General features: G+C 35.8%; 1 long non-coding RNA gene and 1 pseudogene across 1 annotated transcript, besides 2 other annotated features; one reads left to right on the top strand and one right to left on the bottom strand.

Moving 5' to 3' along the window:
• On the top strand, nt 638-1565 carry OR5H4P (olfactory receptor family 5 subfamily H member 4 pseudogene; annotated as a pseudogene).
• Nucleotides 12288-12347: an enhancer, noted in NCBI's record as "active region_20131". NCBI's record gives its function as "activates an Ori minimal core promoter by ATAC-STARR-seq in GM12878 lymphoblastoid cells {active_cell/tissue: GM12878}" and the evidence as "EXISTENCE:reporter gene assay evidence [ECO:0000049][PMID:35858748]".
• Nucleotides 12408-12527: an enhancer, noted in NCBI's record as "active region_20132". NCBI's record gives its function as "activates an Ori minimal core promoter by ATAC-STARR-seq in GM12878 lymphoblastoid cells {active_cell/tissue: GM12878}" and the evidence as "EXISTENCE:reporter gene assay evidence [ECO:0000049][PMID:35858748]".
• On the bottom strand, nt 14124-15972 carry LOC101929320 (uncharacterized). The gene is made up of 3 exons (XR_924257.1): nt 15876-15972; nt 15473-15637; nt 14124-14447 (listed from the first exon to the last, which is right to left on the bottom strand). It is a non-coding gene; the product is annotated as an uncharacterized LOC101929320 (long non-coding RNA).

The following is a 16947-nucleotide window of genomic DNA, read 5'->3' on the forward strand; positions in this document are numbered from 1 at the left end:
ATAATTTCCACATTAAAACCTTGCAATCTGTATTTTTCATAGAAAAAACACTGCTAGGTGATTCTCATGTGTAATCTGATTTGGGATCACCTTGACTTTAGTAACAAGTTTTTGGTTAATATCCATGAGTCAGTTTCCCCTTCCTGTAGCACATTTTCTACACTATCAATCACTAAATTAAAAAATATGTTATGATGCCATTTCCCATCTTAAAACATTTGGTGCATGCTTATTATGTGAAGAGTGAAGTTTAAGATTTTTCACATGGCATTCATTTTATTTATTTTTAATCCAAAACCTTCAAAATCCTTTTCCATTAACATTGCATCCATGTACCAGACACAGGATATTTATGCCACATTCCATAGTGCACACACAAATTTAGTATATGTAGAGAATCCATCTTTTTAATCTAAATCTATTAATTCCTGAAAAATTGTCAAACTAAAATTTATCATTTTTTATTTCTTTAATGCCTCAAATGTATATTCATCAACTATAGCACTGATAAATAAACTTAGGAAACCTCTGATAATTGTACAGTTTATTTCAACACCTCTTCTTCCATTTCAACTCATAATACCACTGCAAATTTTCTTTCACATTTATTGCATTTTATTTTAGAGGACATGCAGTGATGACATGGAAGAGGAAAATGCAACATTACTGACAGAATTTGTTCTCACAGGATTTTTATGTCAACAAGGATTTTTATGGGAAATACCCCTGTTCCTGGCATTCTTGGTAATAGATCTCATCACCATCATGGGGAATCTTGGTCTGATTTTTCTCATCTGGAAAGACCCTCACCTTCATATTTCAATGTACTTATTCCTTGGGAGTTTAGCTTTTGTGGATACTTGGTTATCATCCACAGTGACTCCGAAGATGCTGATCAACTTCTTAGCTAAGAGTAAGATGATATCTCTCTCTGAATGCATGGTACAATTTTTTTTCCCTTGCAATCAGTGTAACCACAGAATGTTTTATCTCGGCATCAATGGCATATGATCGCTATGCAGACATATGCAAACCTTTACTTTATCCAGTCATTATGACCAATGAACTATGCATCTGGCTATTTGTCTTGTCATTTCTAGGTGGCCTTTTTCATGCTTTAATCCATGAAGGTTTTTTATTCAGACTAACCTTCTGTAACTCCAACATGATACAACATTTTTACTGTGACATTATCCCATTGTTAAAGATTTCATGTACTGATTCTTGTATTAATTTTCTAATGTTTTTTATTTTCTCAGGTTCAATTCAAGTTTTAACCATTGGGATTGTTTTTGTATCTTATATGTTTGTTCTCTTTACAATCTTAAAAAAGAAGTCTAACAAAGGCATAAGGGAAGCCTTTTCCACCTGTGGAGCCCATTACATACCTCTCTCTTTATGTTATGGCCTCCTTCTCTTCATGTATGTGGGCCCTGCAGCTCCACAAGCAGATAATCAAGATATGATGGAGTATCTATTTTACCCTATCATTGTGCGTTTGTTAAACCATATTACTACAGCCTGAGAAATAAGCAATAATAGGTTCACTCACAAAAATGTTAAAATAAAATATTTGCATTGCATACTTATCTCTCTTCTCTATTCAATAAAATAGTTACAAAATTATGCTAGTTTGAGGTACCTAAGTTTTTGCCAACTTTCAAATTTTTTTGTAATTATAACTGTCCTAGCACTATAATGACTTAACATGTTAGAACCTAATTAACTAATTAAAATATTCCTATATGTTATGCAAAAGCATTCAAGAAATTTTAATCATGTCATAATGACAGCAGAAAGCAAATAAAAATATTTTATAGATTGTATGTTAATCAATATGTCTTTATCAATGTATTAAACGCTAAAATTATCTAGTTCATCTGATAAGGACTTGAGTGTGATGCTTTTGATACTATTACAACTATATTGCCTGAGACGCCCATCACATTTAACTCATAGTGGAGGCAAATTTGTGTTTGTGTGAAGAGAGGTAAATCCCAATAATTCTGCTAGTCCTCAAAAGGACTTTCATTTCACTTTTGGGAAAGGGTGAATTCCACTTCTTGTATGAAATCAACTCACATTTCCAGTAAAGAAATAAACTGAAATTGAAACACAATTAGAAATAAAATGAGAAAGGTGTTAACAGGTGTAAGAGAATGCTGTTAACTCATTGTGCTTATATGAGCAGGAAAAGAAAAGCTGCCCCTAACTTTCTATATTTGCTTCTAACTTCCTTTCTAGCATGTTTATGTTTTAGACAATCTGAAACTCTTCCCTAATTCAGAAAATTAAAAGGTTAAATAGAAGAACTAATATGAAGTAGGCATAGAGAAGAAAAGATAAGTGGCGTAATGGGAAGAAAATGGTCTTAATCTTCCTAGAAAAAAAATGAAGCTACTAAGATTTTTTAAAGAAAAAGTCATAATACAAAGTTACTGGAATGTGTTCTTGACAACCCGGGGCTTTAAATTCACATCACCAAAGTTCAAATAATGTTAAGATGATATGACATCACAGTGCCCAGTGAGTAGAGGGAAAAAGATGGACATGAGAAAGAGTTTGGATATTTTCTGCCTCAAAAAGTCTTTGATTGTTAGCCTTCTTCACACTTCATACTCTTGAATATATGAGTCATTCATCGACCATTCCACTCTGTCAAAAGATGAAGATGTTTAGACGCCAAAATTCCTTTCACATTCTTACTGATACCACTGAGGCCCTTACTCTAACAACTATTCACATATTGTTTTGGAAACCTCTAGTTACTTATTTCCTCCATCCTCTAGCACTCACTTACTTCCCCAACATTGCTGTCAGATTGTTTTTTGCAAACAAAACTCTAATGAGTTATATCTCTTTTCAGTGCCTCTTGTTGGATTGTCGTTGATACCTGATTATATGCATGTATGTTTCAGGTATCAATATCTATGCACATGTTTATTTTTTATGTGTATGTAGAGTCATGTAATATATATACATAGATACATATATAGTTAAAATATGAATGTAGTGGCACTAGAATTTAGTGGTTATTTGAGGAGATGGTGATGTATTTTGCAACATGAGACTGCATGTGGTTTGGGGCTTTTTGAAGGGGCAAGAGAGGAGATGAAGGTTCTTTTTTTTAATTATACTTTAAGTTCTAGGGTACATGTGCACAACGTGCAGGTTTGTTACACATGTATACATGTGCCATGTTGGTGTGCTGCACCCATTAACTCGTCATTTACATCAGGTATATCTCCGAATGCTATTCCTCCCCCCTCCTCCCACCCCACAACAGGCCCCGGTGTGTGATATTCCCCTTCCTGTGTCCAAGTGTTCTCATTGTTCAATTCCCACCTATGAGTGAGAACATGTGAGATGAAGGCTCTTATAAGGTGAATGCAGAAGGAATGCAAAAAGAAATATTTTATTGGTTAAAGTGGAGCAGTAGCATTATTTCACTCCAGTGAAAAGTCCCTAGTTAGGGGTGAGTTGGCATTTTCTGGTTGTTTAAATTTAACTTTTGTTTTACCTTTTACACTGAATTGCATTTCTGTTTGCTTAGACAGGAACCCACTTTGCTGGAGCCACTTCATCCTAAGGAACTTTTACTTAATGATATTAATTATTTTTTCCCTTTTGGTCAGCCTCCCTCTCAGTTATGAATTATTGACAGAAACTCAAGCACACAGGCCGCTTTTTCTGGTTTGTCTCTGTCTCAGCATAGAACTCATAAGTTATAATTTCTAGTCTCTTAAGGAAGCTTCTTTTTCAGTTATTTTTTATTTATTTATTTTTTAAATATTTTATTTATTTTCTTTTTTTGCCGTTCTAATCACAGTGAGAAAACCTGGCATACTTTGATGGCTATAAGACTACTGAGAAAATACAGCATACCAGGAAGATTACAGTGATGACTATCACAAGGAAAACAACAAGGTACTGGTATATACTCGATAGCCAAAGTGCCAGTGAACCAAACCAACAGAAATAAACCAAATAAAAAGAAAAGGTTAATGGTTATAACAATCTGTGAATTTAGTATTGAGCCCAGAGAGCAGTTAGTTGAGAAGATTTTTAGATTTAAGCTCAAAGCAACTTTAGATGATGAAATAAAATGGTAGTTGCAATCTAATGATTTTTCTGGTTAGTAATCTGAATGTCTCTGTTTATGTCAGGTATGTCCAATGTCTTAGCTTCCATGGGCCATATTGGAAGAAGAATAATTGTCTTGGGCCACACATAAAATACATTAACACTAATGATAGCTAAAAAATGATGAGCTAAAAAAATCACAAAAAAATTCATAATATTTTAAGAAAGTTTATTAATTTGTGTTGGGCCACATTCAAAGCCATCTTTGGCTGCATGCAGCCTGTGGGCCACATGTTGGACAAGCTTAGTTTATGTCATTGGATGTTTTGGTGAACTTCCTTAGCAGCCCACACAGCAGCATGCATGAAGATTGTCCTCTGAAGTTTATATCAAGTTGCCCAGCCCTAGCTTGCAGGGCTTCAGGAATAGGGCAGTTTATAGGTAGATAATAAAACCTCAAAGACAATGGACAGAACAAGAAGTTAATAATGGGTGCATTACAGTTATCTACTGAAACATAAATCTTCCCTCTATAGTCACACCCATTTCTTTCAAATATAGTTATAGTAAGATTAATTTGTTTACAAAACAAGTCTACTCTCATTAAACTTCAACTGAGTATTTACATAAGTGCAGTAGGAATAGGATTGATCATCTCTTTTTAAGTTTACCTTGTTAGAACTTTTAATAAATAATCTCGGATTCAACTTTAAAAGCCTGTCCAGGCTATGAAATCATACCAAGAACATAAAATCAGTGTTTACCTGCAATATCCATAGAATTAGCTAAACTCTCCTCTACTCAAAATAGGTACTAAAAATATTTTTCAGTTTCCTGAGCCTTCCAGAAAGTGACCTTCCTCTCAAACAATAAGGCTGGAAAACTTGTGAGCAGATATCAGGTCGGTTTTTCTGAAGGTACTTGCTGCTATTTGATTGGATGGACCACTCCAAATCCCATGGTGAAATATGAATCTGAATGTTGGAGGTAGGACAGAATGGGACGTGTATGAGTCATGGGTACGGATCCCCCATAATAATGGGTGAGTTCTAACTTTCTTAGTTCCTATGATGGCTGATTGTTAAAAAGTGCCTGACACCTTTGCTTCCTCTCTTGCCTCCTCTCTTGTCATGTGATCGCTGCACATGCCAACTCCATTTCACCTGCCTCCATGAGTGAAGCAGGCTGAAGCCCTCACCAGAAACAGATGTTAGTGCAATGTTTCTTTTATAGCCTGCAGTATTTTAAGCCAAATAAGCTTCTTTTATATATGAATTACCTAGCTTCAAGTATTCCTTTAAGGCAACACTGAATGGACTAAGGCAAGGCATAATTAGCTTCATAAAGTCAATTCCTTAATAAAGACAGTTCCTTAAACTGTCTAGTCATATCTAATTCTACACACATTCTCCAATATGACATTCCAGTCAAAGTTGTGGTCATACAACCAATGTTTCCAAATGTGTTATCTTACAAGAAGAACAAATTCTTATTAAACTTTCACAAATACCTATATTGTCATCAAAAGTAGAATACTCAGTTTCTGAATTCTGGATAGATCAGCTAGGGAGAGATAGGTAAATGTTTTAATTCTGTTTACAAAGGGTATACTTGACCAAATTTCTGATAAAGATTCTTTAAATCTGGTACGATGTTGTGATTCTAATGTTACCAGAAATCTTTACTTCTCAGAGCCTTTTCCATGTGCTTGTTAAGATTTTGATCATAGCTACTTACCTAAACATTCATGATACCATCAGCCTTATATATCAAAGGCACAGTGCTTAGAATTCATATTTAAATGTCATTATTTGCCAAAACAAACAAACAAAAAGAGTGTTGATAGACACAGTCAGGACAAGATAGCCAAGATAACCACACTTACAAAGGTAAGGTTTGTGACAGAGACTGAATCAGTGCTTTCACCACTATTTAGTGATTTACTCAAACTTCTCTTTGGGGACCAGAAAGAGAGACATCCTACAAATGGAGATTCCTTTACATTTCTCTTATAATGGGATCTCAAAATATCTAACATAAAATAGGCTTTGTGCCAGAGATGCGAAATATTTTGGGTATTAATTGGTCGGATTATCAAACCATGTTTATTTTATAACTAGATTAATGGTTTAGGGTGAATCCCATTAATAAATAGGATAAGTACTTTCTATTTCTGAACTCAACATGGATTGACCGGAATGTTTTACAAATAGTACTTCTAATCTTGCCTTACAGAACTGGTTCTTCTTTCTGTGTTTACAAGACTGAATGACAGACCAGTGAATTATTGAGGAAATATTATGGGATGGGTTCTAGAAGATTATTTGTTATTTTCTCAGCTTTTGGTGTGTTTTCCTGGAAGATTGAAGGGTGGATCTTTTTTTTTTTTCTCTGAGACAGAGTCTCACTCAGTCGCTCAGGCTGGAGTGCAGTGGCACGATCTCGGCTCACTGCAAGCTCCACCTCCCGGGCTCACGCCATTCTCCTGCCTCAGCCTCCCAAGTAGCTGGGACTACAGGCGCCCGCCACCATGCCTGGCTAATTTTTTTGTATTTTTAGTAGAGACGGGGTTTCATTGTGTTAGCCAGGATGGTCTCGATCTCCTGACATCGTGATCCGCCTGCCTCGGCCTCCCAAAGTGCTGGGATTACAGGCGTCAGCCACCACGCCTGGCCGAGGGGTGGATCTTTATTATCTATTTTAGTTACCTAACATTTGGCTTCAGCTGCAGGCTTCACCAGGTTCCAGTATCATTTGAATAAATTGGTGAAATTCAGAGAGTCCTGGATCATATGATCCAAAAAGGATTCTAAATTCTACAGGAAATTTCTGGGGCTTTTATTTGGAACAGGGACATTTTTCATTATTGCATGGAGCTCAGACATTGACCAAGGTGTAAAGGTGGTTAAAGAAGGCAGACCTGGTTGATCTGAGGAATTGACTTAATGGGGCATTTGTCTAGTTTCCTTTTATTCTCATGGGTGAAAAGGTAACTGAGCAAAAGGCTTAGTACATTTGGAGTTAACGGGTAGAAGATAATAAAGAGAAATATAGATGAAACTGCCTTTGCAAAAATTTATACAGAAAAATGTCACATGGGAAGATCATGACAGTGAATCTGACATAGGATAATTAGACAGTGCTTCTAATATCCAAGCTTTCTTTCTTCATTCATGGGTGTAGGCCAAACTAACTTTTAGAGCAATTTAGTTTAAGTTTGACTTTGAAACGAAGAGCATAACAGTCCTTACTAAAAACAAACCACCTCCTTCCTTGGGGACCAGACCACATTGGAAAAACTAACAAATTATCACAAGATTAGAAACTGTAGTTCAAGAGCCATGCAGCCAGAAGCCACAGGATTCCTACTCTGCCCAGTTACTCCTATGGATATCATTACTATTGTCAAATCCGAGTTTGGTGTTCAAGGTATATCTTTAGACCCGGTATTCTGATGAACTAGCAGGCACCACTTTGACTTGTAGACCGGCTCGTCTGGACTCACCTCAAGAGGAGAGCTTTGACTCTCTATAACTTCATCCTTAAACCAACCAATCAGCATTTTCCATTTCCTTGCCCCTGCCAACAACTATCTTTAAAACGATCAACTATCTTTAAAAACTAACAATTGTCTTTAAAAAACACTAGCCTCTGAATTTTTGGAGAGGCTGTTTGAGTAATAATAAAACTCTAGTCTCCCATTTAGCCAGCTCTATGACTATTAAACTCTTTCACTATTTTAATTCCTCTGTCTTGATAATTGCCTCTATGTGGGTAGAAGGCAAGAAGATCCCAGTGGGCGGTTATATAGAGAGGAGGAGGAGTTGGAAATGTCAGTCAAAGACTTACACCTGGCCTCTGGAAAAAAAAAAAAAAAAAAATATATATATATATATATATATATATATACACTAATGAATAGGATGATAGAATGGCAGTATTAAGACATAGTGACAGCACCAGCTAAGAGGCAATACACTGCAAGTTTGTCTTTATTTTACCTTTTTCTTCCCCCGACCTTTTCCTAGTAAAACCCCTTATTTCTCATCAGATATAAGTTTGCCTGGAAGATATATGTCTGGAATTTGAGGTTCAGTTTGCATGAGGAGGACAATTTTACTTGGGGCTGGCTTCTGAAGGGAATCTAGATCTTTGGCCTTATTTAAACCAGGTTTTAACTAGCTGAGATCACACTATACTGATCACAGCATTCAGAGCATCCAATTTTATAAACTGAAGTTTGCATAAGATGTCAGAAGTGTCATGTGTTGTGGATAATGGTGGAATAAAGTGTAATTTCAATTGTTAATAGCAAGAATTGGCTTATAGTGACTTAATGTTTATGATTCTGAAGTCCATAGTACACTGTAGGATGATCTGCATTTCTTATACACATCTAAATCCACAATGCCCAGTTGCAGATCTTCACTTTCTCCTACAGGGAATCCTAAGGTGCTCTTAGGGATGCTCCAGTTCTCTACACCTTCCTGTCCCGGCACAGTGGAGATATACAATTGATGAACCCTTGTGTTGAACCCACATAGAGCCAAGTTTATATAAACATTTTTCTGAGATTGGAAATGAAGCCTCCAAAATGAATCAGTGTACAAAGAATTGCTACCTGTGTTATTATCAGTTCTGTACTATTATATATTTTTCTCTACTTTAGAAAGCCAAACTCTTTCAAAGGATCTCCATAATTTCCTATGATATTGGTAAAAGAGATATTATTTTATAATATCTGTTATTCTTCTTAAAGTTTAAAATGCAATGTAATTCATAATAATTTTAGATTTAATATACAGCATGCTAAAATTATGGACAAATTAAAAAAGAGTAAATAATCTTCATGTTTTATTATCATGACTAAAATCTAGATAAGCAAAATTCTCGATAAATGAGTTTTTATAATGATGACTTATTAGCTTGTTATCCCAACTATAATCACTTTGTATGATAAGTTCTGGTTAAGTAGAATTTTTTTTTTTAGTCGGAGTTTCACTCTTGTTGTCTAGGCTGGAGTGCAATGGTGCAATCTTGGCTCACTGCAACCTCCACCTCCCAGGTTCAAGCGATTCTCCTGCCTCAGCCTCCTGAGTAGCTGGGATTACAGGTGCACACCACCACTCCTGGCTAATTTTTTGTATTTTTAGTAGAGATGGGGTTTCACCATGGCCAGGCTGGTCTTGAACTTCTGACCTCAGGTGATCCACACGCCTTGGCCTCCCAGAGTGCTGGGATTACAGGTGTGAGCCACCATCCCTGGCCTAAGTAGAATGTGATATGGTTTAAAACTCAGTTTAAACTTTCCTTTCATTATGGTTCTTATATAAAAAAGCTTTCTGATGATTCTGATATAAATGTATATTCTGTGTAATCACACATTCTGATTAAAATTTTAAGATCTGCCAATTAAACATTAACTTCTCTATAACTTCTGGCAATAATTTAAATATCTTTTATATAGATACATATATACAGCAGTATGTAGAGATACATATATTTTTATTCAGCATTTTATATATGAATAGTAATACATATATATATATACATATCAGAAAACATACTTTCCCTAACTTATTCAGCACTTACAAATTTAAAAGTATTCCAGTAAAAACTTTTGAGAATTTTTCATTATTTTGTGATTTGGGATTGCATGGAAGAAAATGTTTTCCATATAAAAATTTACTTAAAATTGGAATTGCTGCCATTTGTTCTTTATATTTTCTGTATCAGGATTCAGTCTTTGGCTGATTTCTTTCTGCAAAAAAAACAAAAACAAAAACAAAAAGCTGGTGGAGAATAAAGTGCTCTCAAAACCAGCAAAGTTTCTTGAGAAATTTAGTTTTAATTACTTTAACAAAAAGGAAGATCAAAATTTAAATATGAACTAAACTTTCAGTTTCAATATTTTCATGAACAGTGGGAAATTTGTGAGTAAAATTTCAAGTCCAAGACTATCATACACAAATTCCACAGGAAAAATAAACTTTTAATTTTTTACAAAAGACTCAGAGCTCAAGCTGGTATTGATGAACACTAGGGTCAATGCACACATCCAAACGAAACTTCTGAGTCTTTGCCTCTATTTTGCCTTAATGAATCTCTGATACTTCCTCTCTTTTTATTTTGTGGCTTGTCTTTTTTGCGCTTACCCATCTATGACTTCATGATTCTCTACCTATCTTTCCTTCCTCCTTCCTGTTTTATTTGACCCACACAAATCTCCGTTTCTGCTTTTCCTGTCCCTTTTCTCCTTTCAACATCTTCCTCTTCTCTCATCTCAATCTATCTTTTCTCTTGAGAACTTTTCAATACTCTACAGGAGAAAAAATATTACATTAGTCTATGAGCAGCAGACTAATGCTAAGTGTTCACATACCTTTGAGTACTCTATCTCATTCCCACACTATTGTGCTACTTGTTTCCCATTCACTTCTTATTTGATGATGTTTATTCTATTACTTAAGGAAAATTGCTCTCACTAAAGCCATTAAAAATTGCTTAATTTCTACACGCACTGATTTCCTTTAAGCCAGCATAGTACTTGTACAAAACCAGACACATAGACCAATGGAAAAGAGTAGAAAACTCAGAAAGATAGTCACACACTTACAACCATCTGACCTTCAAGTTCAAGGTAAACATGCAGTGGTTAAAAGATTCTGTAGTCAATAAATGGTGATAGGATAACTGGCTAGCCTGAAGCAGAAGAACAAAACTGAACCCTTACCTTTCAACATATACAAAAACTTACTCAAGGTGGATTAAGTTTTTAAACGTAAGACCTCATACTATAAATATCCTAGAAGAAACCCTAGGAAATACCCCTCTTAATGTTGGCCTTGGTAAAGCACTTTTGGTTAAGTCCACAAAATCAATTGCAACGAAAACAAAAATTGACAAGTGGGACCTAATTAAAGAACTTTTGCACAGCAAAAGAAACTATCAATAGAGAATAAAAACAACCTACATAAAGGGAGAAAATATTTGCAAACTGTGTATCCAACAAAGGTCTAATATCTACAATCTATAAGGAACTTAAATCAATGAGAATAAATAAATAAATACCCCCATTAAGAAATGAGCAAATATGACAGACACTTCTTAAAAGAAGACATACAAGTGGTCAAAAAACATATGAAAAAATGGTCATTATCGCTACTCATCAGAGAAAATGCAAATCAAAACCACAATGAGATACCATCTCACACCAGTCAAAAAAAAAAAAAAAAAAAAAAAAAAGACAGATGTTGGAGAGGCTGCAGAAAAAGGGAACACATATATACTGTTGGTGGGAACATAAATTACTTTAGCCACTGTGGAAAGCAGTCTGTAAATTTTTCAAAGAACTTGAAACAGAGCTACCATTTGACCCAGCGATACTATTACTAGCAATCCTATTACTATATCCAAAGAAAATTAGGTCATTATACCATCATTTTTTTTTCTTGCTATACTTCTCTTTTCTCAGTATACTCTCTAATAGATAAATAATTCATAACTATGCCCTCATCTACTCTAATGACACCCAAATTATTTTTTTATTTCTATTGCTCTAGTAATATTATATTACTAATACTAACCAGCTCATCTCGATGTTCAAGGCATGTTCACGCTACACACATGTCAATGCATCTGAATTCTTAGTCTCTATTTTGGATAACTACTCACAAAGTGACTCCTTTTTCCTTCAGTGAATACTACTTTCCCATCAAATATGGGGCTAAATATTTGCATCCTAGTGATGCTACATTCTGAATGCCTTACAATATCCTAGTGATGCTACATTCCGAATGCCTTAAATCTTTCTTCATCCTCCTCATTATTTCCAGCATTATGTTACACAAGTAGACGGGAATATAATTTAATTTTGTGTAATGTCAGTAACTATGTATGCATATTATACTGCTTAGTGCACCCTTCTGAAGAGTTTTCAGTGACTTCTGTGTTGTTTATTGATATGGTTTGGCTCTGTGTTTCTGTGTTCTCCCCCAAATCTGATATCAAATTGTAATCTTCATGTGTCAGGGAAGGGACCTGATGGGAGGTGATTGCATGGGAGCGGATTTCCCCCTTAGTGTTCTTGTGATAGTGAGTGAGGTCTCACGAGACCTAGCGGTTTCAAAGTGTGTGGCACTTCTCTCTTTGCTCACTCTCTCTCTGCTCACTCTCCCTCCTTCTCTGCCATGGTAAGACGTGCTTGCTTCCCGTTCACTTTCTGCCATGATTGTAAGTTTCCTGGGGCCTCCTAGCCATGCTTCCTGTGCAGCCTATGGAACTGTGAGTCAATTAAATCTCTTTTCTTCATAAAGTACCCAGTCTCAGGTAGCTTTTTATAGCAGTGTAAGAATGAACTAATACAGAAAATTAGTACCAAAAGAGTGGGGCACTGCTATAGAGATACCTGAAAATGAGGAAGCAACTTTGGAGCTGGGTAACAGGCAGAGGTTGGAACACTTTGGAGGACTCAGAAGAAGACAGTAAGATGAAGGAAAGTTTGGTACTTCCTAGAGACTTGTTGAATGGTTTTGACCAAAATGCTGATAGTGATTTGGACAATGAAATCCAGGCTGAGATAGTCAGATGGAGATGAGAAACTTATTAGGAACTGGAGTAAAGGTCTCTCGTGCTATGCTTTAGCAAAGTGAGTGGTGGCATTTTTCCCTTGTCCTAGAGATCTGTGGAACTTTGAACTTGAGAGAGATGATTTAGGGTATCTGGGAGAAGAAATTTCTAAGCAACAAAGCATTAAAGATGTTTTGTTACCTGACTGTTTCTAAAAGTGTATGATTATATGTGTGAACAAAGAGATTTTCTGAAACTGGAACTTATCTTTAAAAGGGAAGCAGAGCATAAAAGTTTGGAAAATGTGTAGCCTGGCCATGTGGCAGAAAAGAAAAACCCATTTTCTGGGGAGAAATTTAAACCTGCTGCAGAAATTTGCATGAGTAACAAGGATCCAAATATTAATAGCCAAGACAGTACAGAAAATGTCAGCAGGGCATTTCTGTGATCTTCATGGCAGCTCCTCCCATCACAGGCCAAGAAGCCTAGGAGGGAAAAATGGTTTCATGGGCTGGGCCCAGGGCCCCGCTGTTCTTTGCAGCCTTGGGACATGGCACCCTGCATCCTATCTACTCCAGCTCCAGTTGTAGCTAAAATGGGTCAAGGTATAGCTTGAGTCGTTGCTTCAGAGGGTACAAGCCCCAAGCCTTGATGGCTTCCCTGTGGCCTGTGGGTGTGCAGAAGGAAAGAATTTGGGAACCTCTGCCTAGATTTCAGAGGATGCATGGAAACACCTGGATGTTCAGGAAGAAGTCTGCTGTAGGGGCAGAGCCCTCATGGAGAACCTCTACTAGGGCTGTGCGAAGGGGAAATGTGAGGTTGGAGCCCTCACACAGAGTCCCCACTGGGGCACTGCCTAGTGGAACTGTGAGAAGAGGGCCACTGTCCTCCAGATGCCAGAATGGTAGATCCACTGACAGCTTGCACTGTGTGCCTGGAAAAACCACAGGCACTAAATGCCAGGCCATTTTGATTTGCATTTCTGTGATGATTGGGGATGTTGACCACCTTTTCATATGCCTGCTTACCATTTGTATGTCTTCTTTTGAGAAATGTCTATTCAAATCTTTTACCCTTAATTTGATCAGATTATTAGATTATTTCCTATAAAGTGGTTTGAGTTCCTTATATATTCTGGTTATTAATCCATTCTCAGGTGAGTAGTTTACAACTATTTTCTCCCATTCTGTGGGTTGTCTCTTCATTTTGTTGATTGTATCCTTTTTTGTGCAGAAGCTTTTTAACTTGATGTAATCCCATTTGTCCATGTCTTCTTTGATTGTCTATTCTTGTAGGGTATTGCTCAAGAAATCTTTGCCCAGAAGTCCTGGAGACTTCCCTCAGTGTTTTCCTATAGAAGTTTCATAGTTTGAGGTATTAGATTGAAGCTTTTTATTCATTTTGATTTTATTTTTGGATATGGTGAGAGATAGGGGTCTAGTTTTATTCTTTTGCATATGGATATCTAGTTTTCTCAGCACCATTTATTGATTAGACTGTCTTTCCCCAATGTATGTTCTTGGAAGCTTTGTTAAAAATGACTTCACTGTAGATGCGTGGATTTGCTTCTGGTTCTTTATTCTGTTCCATTGGTCTGTGTGTCTCTTTTTATGTCAGAAAAATTCTTGGGCACCTCCCACTGCAGTCCTTGTCTTTATTTTTCATTGGCTCATCCATTCACCTCTGTCTAACAAGATTTCTCATCAGATTTTAGCATAAAATGGGAGAACTAGGTGTATGTCTAAAATTTGAGCTGCAGTTTTCATGGGAAAGACAACTGTATTTGGGTTTGTCTCCTAAAGGGAATCAGAAAATGTGGCCTTATTAAAACTATGTTTTAATTACCTTAGACAAGCTTATACTAATCAAAGCACTAAGAGTAAATTTCACATTTAACTAAAGTTTACACAAACATGACAGAAGTGTCATCTGTGGTGGTAAATGGTATATAAAATATTATTTCATTTGTTAAAACTAGAAGTGTTTACATGAAATAGTGTTTATGATTCCAGAAGTTAAATGCCATTGGGGACAATCTGGACTTCTCATATATGTCCAAATCCGCAATACATACAAGAACAGCTTCAGTTTGTTCCCCAGAGAATCCCTTGGTACTCTTATGAGAATTTCAGTTTTCCATTCAATCGTCTTCTGGCAAATGTACAGAGTTGTACAATTGAATGACTCTTCTGTTTAATCCAAATTTATATAAACAGCAGTTTCCTGAGTTTGGGGAAAGAAGCCTCCAAAAAGAATGAATAGGCAACGAATTGCTACCTGTGTTATCGGCATTCCCATGCAATTGTATTTTTTCTGTTTTAGAAAGCCTAATGGTTTTAGAGGCTCTCTTAAATTTCTTTCAAAATATGGGTAAGAAAAAATATCTATAATTTTCATTACACTTTGTAGAAATGTTGAAAATGCTATTTAACTTACCATAATTTTAGATTGGGTATACAAACTGTCAAAATAGCCAGGTTGAAATTAGATAACTATTACTGGCTTATCTCTATATTTTAGTTTCATGACTATGATATGGATAGAATAAATAGTTATAAGACAACATTCTTCCTTTAATGATATTTTATTTTGTTGTTAAGCTTATTATGACTTTATTTGACAACTTGTGGCAAACTAGGACATTAAACAATTGAAACTGGTTTTGATTATAATGATTCTAAGAATTATTCAGATTATTCTGATAGAAATACTCATTCTTTCTAATTAATCACATTCTTAGACTACAACTCTTAAGGTCAGTCACTTAAAAATTAACTCTTGTATCCTTATCCCCACTTCTGGATATAATCTGACAACTCACACTGTCAAATGAAGGATGCATTCAGTGGATTCATTGTATTGCTGCCATGGCTGAGTTTACAACTAAAATCCACTTTTGATCCTGTCTTTTTTTTCTTCTTTTATCCATATTATAAATGTAGGATCAGTGTGTTTCATTGCCATCCTAGATAATTATTTCTTCACTCTAGAGGCAAGAAGAATGGGAAAATGAGTTTCTGTTTTTTTTGGCTTCTATAGCAGTAGGTAACCTCTGAGCCCCCAAGACATGGGTGTCAAAAAAGAGGATTAGATCTTGGCCATCTTGTAAAGAACGTATAGTCACTTTGTACATCATTCCTAATGATGCTTTCAAATACTACAATGATTCCAAGTAATTATTTCCATTAAGTTCGAATAGGCCCATATTACTGATTGAATCTCACCTAGTTGTTGAGATGTGATGCTCACACCAAAAACTTGTCAGCAATTCGAGTTTTCATCCCCAATGTTTAATGTCCATCTACCTGGTCACCAACTGACTTCTCTCTCTTTCACTGATGATGTATTCCATACCAAATATGTCACAGTAACTAGAGACTCTACATTCTGAATTCTTTTGAATCTATTCATTTGTCTTACCATCTCTTCCAATATCATATCACACAGGGACTAGACACTACACATGCATATCAATCACCTTGAGGGTATTTTTGAAATACAAATTCCTAGAGCTCATTCTTGAAATAATCAATTCCTACATTAAAACCTCACAATCTGTATTTTTCATGAAAAAACTCTCCCAGATGATTATCATGTGTAATCTAATTTGGGATCCCCTTGACCTTAGTATCAAGTTTCTAATTAGGATTCCTGAATCAGTTTCTCCTTCCTGCAGCACACTTTTTACACCATCAAGAACTAAATTTTTAAAATATGCTATGATGGGCTGGGCGCAGTGGCTCACGCCTATAATCCCAGCACTATGGGAGGAGCTGAGATCGTGCCATTGCACTCCAGCCTGGGCAACAAAAGCAAAGCTCTGTCTCAAAAAAAACAAAGAAAAAAATATATATATATGCCATTTCCCATTTTAAAATATTTGGTGCATGTTTATCATGTGAAGAATAAAGTTTGAGATTCTTCACATTACATTCATTCCATTTTTACACAGGCCTTTCAAATATCTTTTTTCCTTCACCCTACATCCATGTCCCAGACAGAAGGTTTTTCTATTACATTCGGTAGAGTCCACAAAAAATTAGTACATTTAGATAATGCATTTTTTTAAATCTCAACCTGTTAAGTCCTACACAATTTTCAAACCAAAATGTATTATTTTTCCATGTATTTAAATGCTCAAATAGAGGGCACATCAATTAGAGTACTGATAAAAAAATTAAGAGGGCTCTGATAATTACATAGTTTATTTCAACACTTTATCCCCAGTTTCAACTCACAACTCCATTCCAAGTGTTCCTTTACATTTATTTCATTTTTTAGAGGACATGCAGTGAG

Source organism: Homo sapiens, chromosome 3 (genome assembly GCF_000001405.40).
Source record: "Homo sapiens chromosome 3, GRCh38.p14 Primary Assembly".
NCBI lineage: Eukaryota > Metazoa > Chordata > Mammalia > Primates > Hominidae > Homo > Homo sapiens.